Below are 14,570 nucleotides of genomic sequence, written 5' to 3' on the forward strand. Positions count from 1 at the left end.
CAGGAACACTGTGTCCTCATATGGCAGAAGGTAGAAGGGCAAAAGAGGAAAAACCCTTTTTTTTTCTTTTTTTTTGAGATAGAGTCTCGCTCTGTCACCCAGGCTGGAGTGCAGTGGCTCGATCTTGGCTCACTGCAAGCTCCGCCTCCTGGGTTCATGCCATTCTCCTGCCTCAGCCTCCTGAGTAGCTGGGACTACAGGTGCCCGCCCGCCACCATGCCTGGCTAATTTTTTGTATTTTTTAGTAGAGACGGGGTTTCACCGTGTTAGCCAGGATGGTCTTGATCTCCTGACCTCGTGATCTGCCTGCCTTGGCCTCCTAAAGTGTTGGGATTACAGGCGTGAGCCACTGCACCCGGCCAGAAAAACTCTATCAGTTCCCTTTATAAGGGCACCTAATTTCATTCATGAGGGAAGGGCCCTCATGCCTAATCACCTCTTAAAGCCCTGCCTGTTAATACTATCGCACTGGCAACTCCTGAGTTTTGGAGGGTGCACATTCAAACCATAGAAGTGGGATAAGCCAGACACTTGGGTTTCCTATGGGTCCTCTCCATTTGGTTTTCCTGTTAAAGATTTAAAAGAGCAGAAACACTACTTTATTAGAGAAAGGGCATTTGAACTTGGCCTTTGAACATGGCAGGATTTGGCCACTTAGAGATTGGGGGTGCCATTCCAGGTAGAGAGAAGAGCAAGGAGAATGGAGAGCACTTGGCATTTATGAGAATAGTGAGGGTTCATGTCAGGTTACATGAAGCTGACTCATGACAAATTAATTTGGAAAGGCAGGTTGTGACCAGGCTAAAGGCATCTGGACTTTGCTCTAGAGGAAATGTGAAACCATTGCAGATTTCTGAGCAAGCTGTTGGCCAGAGCCGTGCTTCGGGGCGACTCACAACAGTGGTAGGAAGCTCTTTGGGAGCTGGGAGAGAGAGAGAGAGAGAGAGAGAGAGAGAGAGAGAGAGAGATGGGAATCCAGGGGAGAACAGAACAAGTGAGAAAGCAGCTGCATTGCGGCCCAGGCTGGGGTTGCTGGTTTCTGGAAAGGGGGTAGTGTTGGGGGAGTGGGGAGAGGGGTTAAATGTGAGCTTCTGAGGAAGTACAGGAGGGGTGAATTCCACCATGGAGAAAGTATTCAATAACAAGCCTACAGAGAATTTGAGGAAGGTGGAGGAGTAAAGGACAATGATGTCCTCGAGAAACCTGCTCATGAAACCTGCTCAAGAAACCTGAGGAGGCAAAAGCCTGATTCTAAAGTGTGAGAGAGCAACAGCACAACCTGGGGAGGTGGGGTATCAAGTCCGAACCAAGGGTGAAGGGCAGGGACTCAGGTGCTGGAGTGTTTCAATGTGGATCTTGGGGTTGGCACTTGCTTGCTGAGTTACCTTGGGCAAGTTACTATGTGGTCTTAGTTTCTGTAAAATGGAGATCATGATGTAACCACTTGGTAGGGCTGTTGGAAGGATGGAAGGAGTTCAGAAACAGAAAGCTCCCAGCACAGAGCCTGGCCCGTAATAAACAGTCTATGTGTTTGCTATCACGAGGGTACTTTTAAAGAAATTTAGTGCAGATGAGTATAAATGAGACGTGGAGTGAGTAGCAGAATCAACACAAGGTTTTTCTTATAATGGATGAGAGATTGTAAAACACATTTGCATTGGGGAGAAGGACACATGGGAGAGGGAAGAAATGGAAGACACGGAAGATTTGTTGGAGGCAAATTTAGATCCACGACAAAAGTACGGGAGTAAGTGCATGGGGAAAACTTAGTATTGGAGGGAGGAAAAATGGCCTCACTTTGCACTTCGAATAACATCTACTTTCTTTACCTGGTCCTCCAAAGGCCACCAGGGCCAGCCTCTGGCCTGTTTCTTTAGCCGTAACTCCTCCATTCTCCCCCGCTGCCATTTGCACATCTTGCATTTTCTCAGAGCTGCCAAGATGGTCGTGGCCGGGCCTTCCTCTAGCTAGCCTATCTTCCTGCAGAGCCCTTCCCTCAGCTTCTTACTTGGCTGAATCTGTTGTCTTACCCAGCTCTCACTTTAAATTCCGAAGTCCTTCCCTGACCGTCAGGTCCAAAGTAGCCATTCAACATTCCTTACATTACCCGTTTTTCCATCTTTACATGGCATTGATCTTCACTTGGTGATTCCTTGTTTATTTATTTATTGGTGTACTGCCTGCCTCTCTTCACCAACGTATAAGCTTCATTACAGCAGAGACCTCTTGCCTGGTCATCACAGTATCCTTGGCTCCTGGCACATGGTAGGAGCCCAGTTAAACGTTTGTTGAATAAATAAATGAATACATCCTTCTGTAATATGTGAGAAAAGTGGGAGGCAAGTCTAGGTGAAGAAGGCACTTAAAAAAAAATTTTTTTTTGAGACAGTCTTGCTCTGTCACCCAGACTGGAGTGCAGTGGCACGATCTTGGCTCACTGCAGCCTCCACCTCCCGGAATCAAGTGATTCTCATGGCTCAGTCTCCTGAGTAACTGGGATTACAGGCTTGCGCCGTTACACCCAGCTAATTTTTGTTTTCGTTTTTTTTTTTTTTTTTTTTTTTGAGACGGAGTTTCACTCTTGTCGCCCAGGCTGGAGTGCAGTGGCGCAATCTCGGCTCACTCCAATATCCGCCTCCCGGGTTCAAGCAATTCTCCTGCCTCAGCTTCCCGAGTAGCTGGGATTACAGGCCTGCAACACCATACCTGGATAATTTTGTATTCTTAGTAGAGATGGGGTTTCACCGTGTTGACCAGGCTGGTCTCGAACTCCTGGCCCCAAGTGATCTGCCTGCCTCGGCCTCCAAAAGTGCTGTGATTATAGGCATGAGCCACTGCACCTGGCCGGAAGACAGATTTTGAAGTGGAGAGGAGTTAGAGGAAATTGAGTCATACTTAATTTTATCTGAAAATCATGAAGTAAAATAATACATAGAAAGTGAAGGGGTGAACTTCTGGGTGTATATATTCAATGGAAATAAAATCAGTGTCAAAGGTTTCTCTGCACCCCCATGTTCACTGTAGCATTATGCACAATAGTCAAGATATGGAATCGACCTGAGTGTCCATCAACAGATGAATGGATAAAGCAAATGTGGTATGTATACACTGTGGAATACTATTCAGCCTTAAACAAGAAGAAAATTCTATCACTTGTGACAACGTAGATGAACCTGGAGGACATCGTGCTAAGTGAAAGGAGCCAGGCACAGAAAGACAAATTGTGCATGATCTCACTTACATGTGGAATCCAAAAAAGTTGAACTCGTAGACACAGAGAGGAGAATGGTGGGTTGCTGGGGAGGAAATGGAATGCGGCAGAAAGGGGAGATATTGGTCAAAGGGCACAAAGTTTTAGTTAGATAGGAGGAGTAAGTTCTGGAGACCTATTGTGCAGCATGGTGACTGTAGTTAATAATGATGCACTGTATACCTAAAAATTGCTGAGACAGTAGAACTTAAAAGTTCTTTTTAAAATTTTTATTTTAGGCCAGGTGTGGTGGCTTATGCCTGTAATCCCAGCACTTTGGGAGGCCGAGATGGGCAGATCACCTGAGGTCAGGAGTTCAAGATCAGCCTGGCCAACATAGTGAAACCTCGTCTCTACTAAAAATACAAAAATTGGCCAGGCATGGTGGTGGGTGCCTGTAATCCCAGCTACATGGGAGGCTGAGACAGGGGAATTGCTCGAACCCAGGAGATGGAGGTTGCAGTGAGCCTAGATCATGGCACTGCACTCCAGCCTGGGTGACAGAGTGAGACTCTCAAAAAATATTATTTTAATTTTTATAAATAAAGACAGGTTCTCCCTATGTTGCCCAGGCTGGTCTCAGACTCCTGGGCTCAAGCGGTCCTCCCACCTCGGCCTCCCAAAGCGCTGGGATTGCAGGCGTGAGCCACTGCACCTGGACAACTTCGAAGTTCTTACCACAAAAAAATGATAAGTATGTGAGGTGGTAGATATGTTAATTAGCTTGATTTAATCATTTCACATTGTATGTGTGTATCAAAATGCCACATTGTACCCAAAAATATATGCGGTTTTTATTTGTCAATTAAAAAAAAGAGAGGGGACTATAGGCACACACCACCATGCCAGGCTAATTTTTTTGTATTTGTATTTTTTTTTTTTTGAGACGGAGTCTTGCTCTGTTGCCCAGGCTGGAGTGCAGTGGCACCATCTTGGCTCACTGTAGCCTCTGCCTTCCAGGTTCCAGCGATTCTCCTGCCTCAGCCTCCTAGGTAGCTGGGATTACAGGCACATGCCACCGTGCCCAGCTAATTTTTGTATTGTTAGCAGAGTCGGGGTTTCGCCATGTTGGCCAGGCTGGTCTCAAACTTCTGACCTCAGGTGATCCACCTGCCTCGGCCTCCCAAAGTGCTGGGATAACAGGCGTGAGCCACTGCGCCAGGTCATTTTTTTGTATTTTTAATAGAGACGAGGTTTCACCATGTTGGCCATCCTGGTCTTGAACTCCTGACCTCAGGTGATCCACCCACCTCGGCCTCCCAGAGTGCTGGGATTACAGGCGTGAGCCACCATGCCCGCCCTAAACCTTTTTTAAAAATATGTTTTAACATTCTTTGTGCTCAAATTCATGATCAATTTTTTTTTTTTTTTTTTTGAGATGGAGTCTCACTCTGTCACCCAGGCTGGAGTCCAGTAGCACGATCTCGGCTCACTGCAAGCTCTGCCTCCCGGGTTCACGCCATTCTCCTGCCTCAGCCTCCCGAGTAGCTGGGACTACAGGCCCCCGCCACCACGCCCAGCTATTTTTTTTTGTATTTTTAGTACAGAGTTTCACCGTATTAGCCAGAATGGTCTCAATCTTCTGACCTCGTGATCCGCCCGCCTCAGCCTCCAAAAGTGCTGGGATTACAGGCATGAGCCACGGCGCCCGGCTTCATGATCAAATTTTGTAAATGGTTGATGGATAGATGAAAAAAATTCTCTAATTGAAAGACATAAGGATCACTGTATGATCAGCAAATGTAGATAAATGAATATAATATTGATTCACTTCTAAAAGAAATATATTGATGTCTCCCACTATAATTAAATTTTAATCAAGTTCTTGGACTTCTAAATAGTTTTTGCCTTATATATTTGGCTGTTTTCACGTTTGGACGCTTCACTTTATTAATTATTGTATCTCCTTTGTAAGAGTGTACCATTCATATTACATAATCTCTCTATCTTGTTTGGTCAGGTTTTCCACAACTAATCAAAATGCCTTGGTATTAACGTGACTCTTTTTCAAAGTAGCGTGGACAATTTTGCTGTCATCATGTAGTCCTGGGTCTTTGGGTTTTATCTTTCTAAGACTGTAGATCTCAATCTTGAGTTTATCAATATAATCTATAAAAAATTCCAAATTAAGCCAGGCATGGTGGCTCATGCCTGTAATCCCAGCACTTTGGGAGGCCGAGGTGGGAGAATCACTTAAGGCCAGAAATTTGAGATCAGCTTGGGCAACATAGTGAGACCCTATCTCAACAACAAATTAAAAAACTGCTGGATGTGGTAGCGTGCAAATGTATTGCCAGCTACTCAGGAGGATGAGGTGGGAGGATCACTTGAGCCCAGGAAATTGAGGTTGCAGTGAGCCATGATTATGGCATTGTACTCCAGGTTGGAGTACAAACTTTCAGCTTGTCACTGAAAAAAAGGACACTCCATATCACTTTTTGCCATTTTGTGTGTGTTTACACATCTATCTATCCACATTGTGCTTAATTTGGACTTTACAACCAAGTGATTTTTCTCCATTATAAAAGAAATTGCATCATTTTCTTTTTTTTAAAATTTTACTTTAAGTTCTGGGATACATGTGGGGAATGTGCAGGTTTGTTACATAGGTATACATGTGCCATGGTTGTTTGCCGCACCCAACAACCTGTCATCTAGGTTTTAAGCCTTGCATGCATTAGGTATTTGTCCTAATGCTCTCCCTCCCCTTGTCCCCCACCACCCAACAGGCCCTGGTGTGGGATGTTCCCCTCCCTGTGTCCATGTGTTCTCATTGTTCAACTCCCATTTATGAGTGAGAACATGCAGTGGTTGGTTTTCTGTTCCTGTGTTAGTTTGCTGAGAATGACGGTTTCCAGCTTCATTCATGTCCCTGCAAAGGACAGGAACTCATTCTTTTTTATGGTTGCATAGTATTCCATGGTGTATATGTGCCACATTTCCTTTATCCAGTCTATCATTGATGGGCATTTGGGTTGGTTCCAAGTCTTTGCTGTTGTAAATAGTGCTGCAATAAACATGCGTGTGCATGTATCTTTATAGAATAATTTATAATCCTTTTAGTATATACCCAGTAATGGGATTGCTGGGTCAAATGGTGTTTCTGGTTCTAGATCCTTGAGGAATTGCCACAGAGTCTTCCACAATTGTTGAACTAATTTACACTCCCACCAACAGTATAAAAGTGTTCCTATTTCTCCATATCATCTCCAGCATCTGTTGTTTCCTGACTTTTTAATGATCGCCATTCTAACTGGCGTGAGACGGTATTTCATTGTGGTTTTGATTTGCAAGGAAATTGCATCATTTTCCACTGAACCTAAGTTGCAGTTCCATTCTGCCTAAGACCACCAAACTCACCTGCCCCACTGTTATACCTTCTGGATGTCAGTGAAAGTTCATGGACAAGAGAATATTTGTAAAACTGCATTGGATTTCTGTTGAGAAATGCTATGTTTTCAAAAGGTGAAAAAATGTAGACATGTATTTTCAGACCTTTTATTTTTCAATCATAGCAGTGGAATTCCTTGATGGTTTATGAAAATAAATGTTTTTCTCACTCCTAGGCCATTTAAAAATATATAATATGGAGTTGAAGTTATTAATAGAAATAACTAAGGGTGAGAGAGAATGGCACTTGTACTATTGAGTACAATATTAGAAGCAAGTGCTGTTATATTGCCAGACTATATAAAATAACAAGTGTTTCTAGTGCACTGAGTGAATGTATGGTTTAGAAAACATTACTAATTACGTGCGTATTCATTGATTTATTCACTAAGTACTCACTGAGGGTCTACTGTGTACCTGAGTCTAGCCAGAGGCTTGTGGTGGAGAGCTGAGCAGGTCAGGTCCAAACTTATGTTCTTGCTATTTCTTTGGGTGTGGGTGGTTGGATGGTTAGCTCAGTGGTCTCGGATGCTGGAATTTGTTCTAATAAGTTTCTGAGCTGCTTCATAAACCAAGAGGGTTAGGGGAACTATAGCTGAGTCATCTCCTTTTCCTCCTCTTCCTCCTTCTTCCCCTCCTCCCCACCGTCTGTTACTACTATTATAGGAAATTTGAACTGGAATGAAAAAAAAATCAGTGTTACAAAAATGGTCACATTTTGGAATAACTCTACACTTACATAGTGTGTTCTAGTGATTAGAAACAAAAAAGCCATCATTTTAGGCTAGATTTTTCAGAATGATCACAATGCTACCACTGTTTTGCACTTACCTTAAAAAATAAAGTGCTTCCCCTAAGTTTGATCATTTGCTTGTTAGCATAATTTGGCCATTAAACATTAAGCATTGTTTGAGACCCGTAAGTCAAGCCAGGCTATGGTGAAACAAAATTAGCAAAATTCGAATTGATGCCGGAAACTGGTGAAGCCGCCATAGATTTAAGGACCAATTTGCCAGGTTACCGTCTGCAGGTTCTGCTATGGACCAGGTGGGGGCAGCAGAGAGCTGGCTGTGGTCTCCAGAAGGGAAGGCCAGCACCTGCCTGCAGATTCCAAGGCACAGGTGGAGGTGGTAATGAGTTACGAGGTAGAGTCAAGGTTTGGACTGCATCTGAGAAGGGAGGAAAGCAAGAGAGTTAGAAACACCATAAAGATGAGACTGCAGAGCAAGCCAGAATGGAAGTAGGACAAAGAACTGGTGTAAGTCAAAGAGCAAAGGTGCAGGGGTCACAGGGAGGAGAGGTTGGGTGGGCAGACAGGAGGTGCCCGAAGGAGGCCAGCCTGCTTCACTAGTGCCCCTTCCAGTACCTTCCCAACTCGGTGAGCCAGGTCCATACTTGGTTCTGTTTGGTCTTCCAAGGGCTATGAAGGGACAGGGATGTGAGAGACACCAGCCATCTCTCTCTCCTGAGCTATTAATAATGAAAGTTCCTGTTTTATGAACAAATACTGAAATGAATGGAGAACACTCAACAATTTGGTAGCAATCAGAGTGTGGTAGTGAAGCATTGCCTGGGCTTTTCCTTCTGGTTCCTGCAAAGGACTAAGGTCCTCAGCAGCCTCTGTCCATCTTTTCGGAGATTTTTCACAATCACCAAGGAAATATAGTTCAGTGCTCCTGTTTACTTAATGGTCGGCTACGCTTGAAATATCATGCTCTCCCTGTGTGGTCTTGTCATAATTATTTTCAAATGGTGCTAATTAGCAGACCCAACACATGGGCAGCCTTCCTTCCCCAGACTTGGCACCCTCACTCGCTGCATTTAGCACCCCTCATGGGAAGGCATCCTGGAGATCCCTTATCTGCACCCTGTCTCCATCTACCCCTTCCCACTCGCGGAAGCTGCCTCACCAGAGAAACTGCTATCTGATAAAGAACATCAACAAGTCCTAGCAGATGGCTGCTTATCTCAAGACACATATATTCACCAAAATCCTAGCAGAAGAAAAAGCTGTGTTTGGATGGTCCCTGAGAGCTAACTATAACATGTTCAAACTGTGTAACGCAGTTTGGAGATGGAGACAGAGTATGGAGAAAGAAAGACAAAGGGAGAATACCCAAAAGAGGTTTTGGAAAAGAAGAAAAATTTGTTCTTTATACATATATATCCATAAAGATGAGGGTCTCACTCTGTCATCCAGGCTGATCTCAAACTCCTGAACTGAAGGGATCCTCCTGCCTCAGCCTCTCCAGTAGCTGCAACTACAGGTACCAAGCTGAGCAAGAAGAAAAATTTGAGTTAGGCTTTAGAACATCAAACTAAGACTCTGATTTTCTTGAGAAAGTGGATAGAAAATTTGTGGTTAGAGATGACACCAGTAACGATAGGTTTCTACTCTTAGCTATGCCTGGGGCAGCTTGACCGCCACTTTGTTGATCACATTAATTTACCTCTTCCTGCCTTTATTTCCCTTTCTGTAAAATGGGAATTAATGTGCTTGATGACAATATCTCCAAATGATTTTTAAGGCAAGAAGAGAGAATGTTACTGACAGGCCCATGGTTCTCTGGGTGAGAGGGTCACTGTGAATGAATGTACACACAGAGCCTTTTATTAGTGAGGCTTAGGGTGTCCGGTTTTTCTTGGCGGAGTAAACATCCACCCAGTAGTATTCACTCAGTTTGCATTGTTCTGTCGCATTGTTTGTAAATCTTTTGAGTGATTACGCAGCATTTGTTCCCTATTGTTCATAATACTCTTTAAAAAGCTGACTATAGGACTCCAGTCCCCACTGGTTTGTTCTTTGCCACTTGGCAAAGGTTGATTGATTTTATTTTTCCTTTGGCCTGTGCTTCTTAGTGGCTTGAAATGAACACGGCTTTTTTTCCTGTTTACCCCTTTGCCCACATTGTCAATAATAGAGTCGCCCTGGGAAGCAGAGTTTGCAAAGGGAGGAGGGTTTGGTATAAATTTGGAAGATTGTATTGTTTCAGATTTATTTTCTCAAATGCTGAAACTGCTTCTCAGGGGTTATACTTCTTTACTCATGAAAACTCACACATTCTCTTAGGTGGTACTGTTAAACATGTTACATTTGTAAAAAAATTAATAAAACGTAATGAAAGAAGCAGGAAGCAAGTGTATACACATGGTGGCCTGAGCAATTGGCTGTCATGGTTTGGTTTGATTATAGGTGTGTGAGGCACATGTATGGTGTTGCGTGGAACAGATGGATAGAAGTGGTAAAAAAGATGAATCCAACCTAGTGCTTTTCAATTCTCCTTGCACATGAGAATCACCTGGAGAATTAAAAAAAATACATTGATGCCGACTGGGCACAGTGGCTCATGCCTATAATCCCAGCACTTTGGGAAGCTGAGGCAGGTGGATCACTTGAGGTCAGGAGTACGAGACCAGCCGGGCCAACATGGTGAAACCCTGTCTCTACTAAAAATACAAAAATTAGCCAGGTGTGGTGGTACACGCCTATAATCCCAGCTACTTGGGAGGCTGAGGCAGGCAAATCTCTTGAACCCGGGAGGCAGAGGTTGCACTCAACCGAGATTGTGCCACTGCACTCCAGCCTGGGCAACAAAGCGAGACTCCATATTAAAAAAAAAAAAAAAAGTTGATGCCTGAGTCTCTCCCCAAAAATCGGAACATCTGTGGGTGTGGGTTCGGCATGGATATTTGTAAAGTCTCCGTAGCTGCAAAGCCAAGTTGGGAACCACTGATAACCAACAGAAAAATGCTTCTGGAAGTGTTTCCGGGGAAGGAGTCCTAGCCTAGGATCAGACACCTGTCTGGGCTCAATACAAACCACTGGTTTTTTTTTTTTTTTCTGAGATGGAGTCTTACTCCGTTGCCTGGGCTGGAGTACAGTGGCGCAATCTCAGCTCACTGCAACCTCCACCTCCTGGGTTCAAGCGATTCCCCTGCCTCAGCCTCCAGAGCAGCTGGGACCACAGGTGCATGCCACCACTCCTGGCTAATTTTTGCATTTTTAGTAGAGACAGGGTTTCACACTGTTGACCAGGATGGTCTTGATCTCCTGACCTTGTGATCCACCCGCCTCGGCCTCCCAAAGTGCTGGAATTACAGGCATGAGCCACCACACCCAGCCACCACTGGGTTTTATAAACTCTCAGTAGGCCTCCTCTTCTGGCCTGGTCCCATGCTATCTGACCCTTCTTGACATTCAAAAAAAGTATTTTTCTTTAGTTGAACTCCAGGAACATGAAGTGGCATTAAACAGAAGTATGAATTGCCTTTATTAAAATTGCAGTGGTCTTTTTCTTACCAAAGGTCCTGACCCAGTTGTGGAAAAATTGTTTCTTGAATGTGGGTGACACATCTGTTTCATATCTCCAAGGCAATGCCTCAGAGCCAACTCCTCCCCCGTGTGACTCAAGGATGCCACGTGTCCCACATGTGGCCTGTTTTCTTCTCTTAACATGGCCTAAAAGGCCCTTATTGAACTCCCGTTAGCTTTATTTATTTATTTTTGAGATGAATTCTTGCTCCGTCACCCAGGCTGGTGTGTGGTGGCGCAATCTCGGCTCACCGCAACCTCCGTCTCCCAGGTTCGAGCAAATCTCCTGCCTCAGCCTCCCAAGTAGCTGGGACTACAGGCGCCTTCCACCACACCCAGCTAATTTTTGTATTTTTAGTAGAGACAGGGTTTCACCATGTCGGCCAGGCCAGGCTACTCTCAAATTCCCGACCTCAGGCGATCTGCCTGCCTCAGCCTCCCAAGAGCTCTCCTTAGCTTTGAAAGTAAAAGCCAACCCCTTTTGGCTGGCCCATGAGGCCCCACACACCTTAGCATTCCTGTTACCTCTACCACCTCCTCTCCTAACTCTGCCCTTTGCTGGTGCCAATTTGACTGCACTAGTGTCCTTTTTGTGACTGCAGCTGTGCCTGGGACACTCCGGTCTTTGCTCTTGCTACTGTTCTGAGCTGTTTATGTCCAGAATGCTCTTCCAGCAGTTAGCTACTTGTTTCCTCTGAGTCTTCAGGTAGCTGCTCAATATCAGCTTCTCAGTCACCCTGTCTGATCACCTGGCTTATAAGTCCAGTCCCTACCCTTGTACTCCCCATCTCTAATCCCTGCTTAATCATCGCCTTAGCACTGTCACCATCTGACTTTCTTTCTATATATATTTTATTTATTGGTTAGCTCGGCTGCTTCAACAGATACCATAAACTGGGTGGCTTAAAATCAGACATTTATTTCCCACAGTTCTGGAGGGTGGAAATCTGAGATCAGGGTGCCAGCATGGTCTGGTTCTGGTGAGGGCCTCTTCCAGGTGCAGACAGCCACCTTGCTTTTTTTCTTTTCTCTTTTTTTTTTTTTTTTTGAGTTGGAGTCTCGCTCTGTCACCCAGGCTGGAATGCAGTGGTGCCATCTCGACTCATTGCAATCTCCACCTTCCAGGTTCAAGTGAGTCTCCTGCCTCAGCCTCCCGAGTAGCTGGGACTACAGGTGCACACCACCACGCCCAGCTAATTTTTATATTTTTAGTAGAGACGGGGTTTTGCCATGTTGGCCAGGCTGGTCTTGAACTCCTGACCTCAAGTGATCCACCTACCTCGACCTCCCAAAATGCTGGGGGGTCGTGAGCCACCATGCCCGGCCAGATGGCCACCTTCTCCCTGTGTCCTCATGTAGCAGAAAGAGATCAAAGAGCTCTTTTGTTTCTTTTATGAGAGCACTAATCCCATCACAAGGCCCTGACCTCACAACCTAATCACCTTCCAAAGGCCCCACTTCCTGTCGCCATCATATTGGGGGTTTGGATTTCAGCATATGGATTTTGGGGGGACACAAATCTTTCAGTCCGTAATAGTTGGCCTCCTCCCTTGTTCCACTAGAATATAAGCTTCAGGAGGTCAGGGATCTTTGTCTCTTTTGTTTACAGCTATGTTCCTAACACCTACAACAATGCCTGGCACATGGTAGGTGCTCAGGAGATAATTATTGGATGAAAAAAAATGAACCGGTCTCCTCCTTAACCCCTGAAATCCTGTTCGAGTCGCTGGGTTTGCCTTGCTCCACTGGGATGAAGTCCTGGCTTGGTGTCCTTGTCTCCCAGGGGTAGACGCCCCGTCTCTGGGAGGACTTGAGGCTCTCCTGGCCTGCTGCTTGGCCTCCTTACCTGTTCTGCCCACTCAGAGCCCTGCCAGCTGCCTGGGATGGCTGCCGGGCACGTCCTTGTTCCTGCTCAGTCAACCAGTTGGGGCCTTGGTTTGGACCTTCACTTATTCTTCTGTGAACCTACCTCTCTGGTCCCCAGCTCGTCTTCTGAAATTTTGATGTGTTGGTCAAGCCCAGTCTTGTTTGCACATCCCTGTGAATGATTCTTAATTATATTTCTGGCTGGCTCTGTGCAGTAGACCATAGAAATAACGATTGTTTCTGGGGTTGCGCTGGAGTGTGAACAGGTGGGGAAAATGCCTCAGGACGATTGGACCGAGGAGACTCTGAGATGACTGATGAAAGCGACAGCAAGAGCTTTCCACGCTCCTGATGGCAGGAGGGGACGGCGGTGCTGAGGGGTGGGGGAGGCTCAGGGGGAGCTGTTGAGGGTCCCGTGCTCGTCAATTCTCTAGCTTCTCAGGCGCCTTGATCTTGTCATTTAGAAGCCTCTGGAAGCACAGGGACTGTGGAAACTGGAAGCTGTTCTTGGACTATTTCGCAACACTTTTCTCCAGGAAAAAGAAAAAATAAAAAAAAGCCTCATTCTCTTCGTCCCCAATGTTACATAATCGAACATTTCCCGTCCTGGTTGAAATGAATATCCTCTTTGCCTGAATAAATAATGCACAGATTCTTCGGGACAGGCTGCTTCCTCCAGGCCGCCGCTTCCAAGGGATCCGGTCGCTTTGTGGGTTTAGTGGTGGCCCACAGCTGGACGCGGGGTCCAGCTTGGGGTGGGGGAGGCGGTGCTTTCTGCCAAAATGTCTTTTAAACGTCTCAACAAGTAGCAAACAAGGCCCCACCTGCGACAGTTGTAGTGATTCCGGAAGACCTGCTCACCACGAGGTGCTGGGGTCGCTTGCAGCTGGCAGTCTCCGGTGGCTGCAGTTTAAATAAATCTCCTAAGTGCAGAATCACCACACAGGGCGCGGAGAAACTGAAAAGTTAAAACATCTGGAGTTACAAACACTCACAGGCCTATCAGCTGTCTGAGTCCCCGTAGGAAAACTGTTTATCGGATGCTTTAGTATTCAACCTTTTATTTCCTAGCACAGGTTTTTTGATTTTCACATGGAGTGTTTGATTATTTTCCCATGCCCAAGTCACTGTTTTCATAGCCTGTTGTTTAATCTGTGTGCACCTTTGTTTTCACTCTATTTCCTTTGCTTTCCTATATGAGAAAAATAAATGGCACCATTGAATTGCACGGTAGAGGCTGATGCTATTCCAGGTGCTCAGGTTGGCTTTCCCATCTTTCGTTTCCTCCTGTAGGAAGTTTTTTTTGGTATAAAGGGAAGGACAGAATTGGATCTCCCTGGAGGGAGTTTCATGTGTTTCTTATTCTGAGCTGCCGGGAGCTGGTTCACAGCACAACTTGATAATTGCTGAGTAGACCTAAAGTTTTGAAAATCAAGATCTCTTTGGAGTTTTACAAGTAAAATTTCAAAAATGAGAAATGACTATCCCAATTTATTTTAGAAGAAAGGTGCAGCTTGTAAACTTTCATGAATTTGGTAAAAGGGGGCTAATTTGAAAAGGAAAACTAATAGGCAATATTTACAAATTGTGAAAAATATCAGAATAGTATACGTGGAAGAGTTATTAGACATTCCATTTGCAGTGGTAAACCCATTCCTTTGATTCTGAATCTTGTTTAGGTTTCCTTAAGAATTTGATGAAGTTTTCAGACTCTTCCTTCAGAAAAATGCACATATTCTTATGTACCTAAAT

At 45.0% G+C, this 14,570-nt stretch overlaps 1 protein-coding gene across 4 annotated transcripts in view, besides 1 other annotated feature; it reads left to right on the top strand.

Annotated features, from left to right (window-relative positions):
* ESR1 (estrogen receptor 1) overlaps positions 1 to 14,570 on the top strand; it is a 472,948-nt gene that overhangs the window by 11,550 nt on the left and 446,828 nt on the right. The gene's annotated exons all lie outside the window — the stretch shown is intronic.
* Positions 7,795 to 7,844: an enhancer, noted in NCBI's record as "active region_25284". NCBI's record gives its function as "activates an Ori minimal core promoter by ATAC-STARR-seq in GM12878 lymphoblastoid cells {active_cell/tissue: GM12878}" and the evidence as "EXISTENCE:reporter gene assay evidence [ECO:0000049][PMID:35858748]".

This window comes from Homo sapiens, chromosome 6, assembly GCF_000001405.40.
Source record: "Homo sapiens chromosome 6, GRCh38.p14 Primary Assembly".
In the NCBI taxonomy this organism is placed as follows: domain Eukaryota; kingdom Metazoa; phylum Chordata; class Mammalia; order Primates; family Hominidae; genus Homo; species Homo sapiens.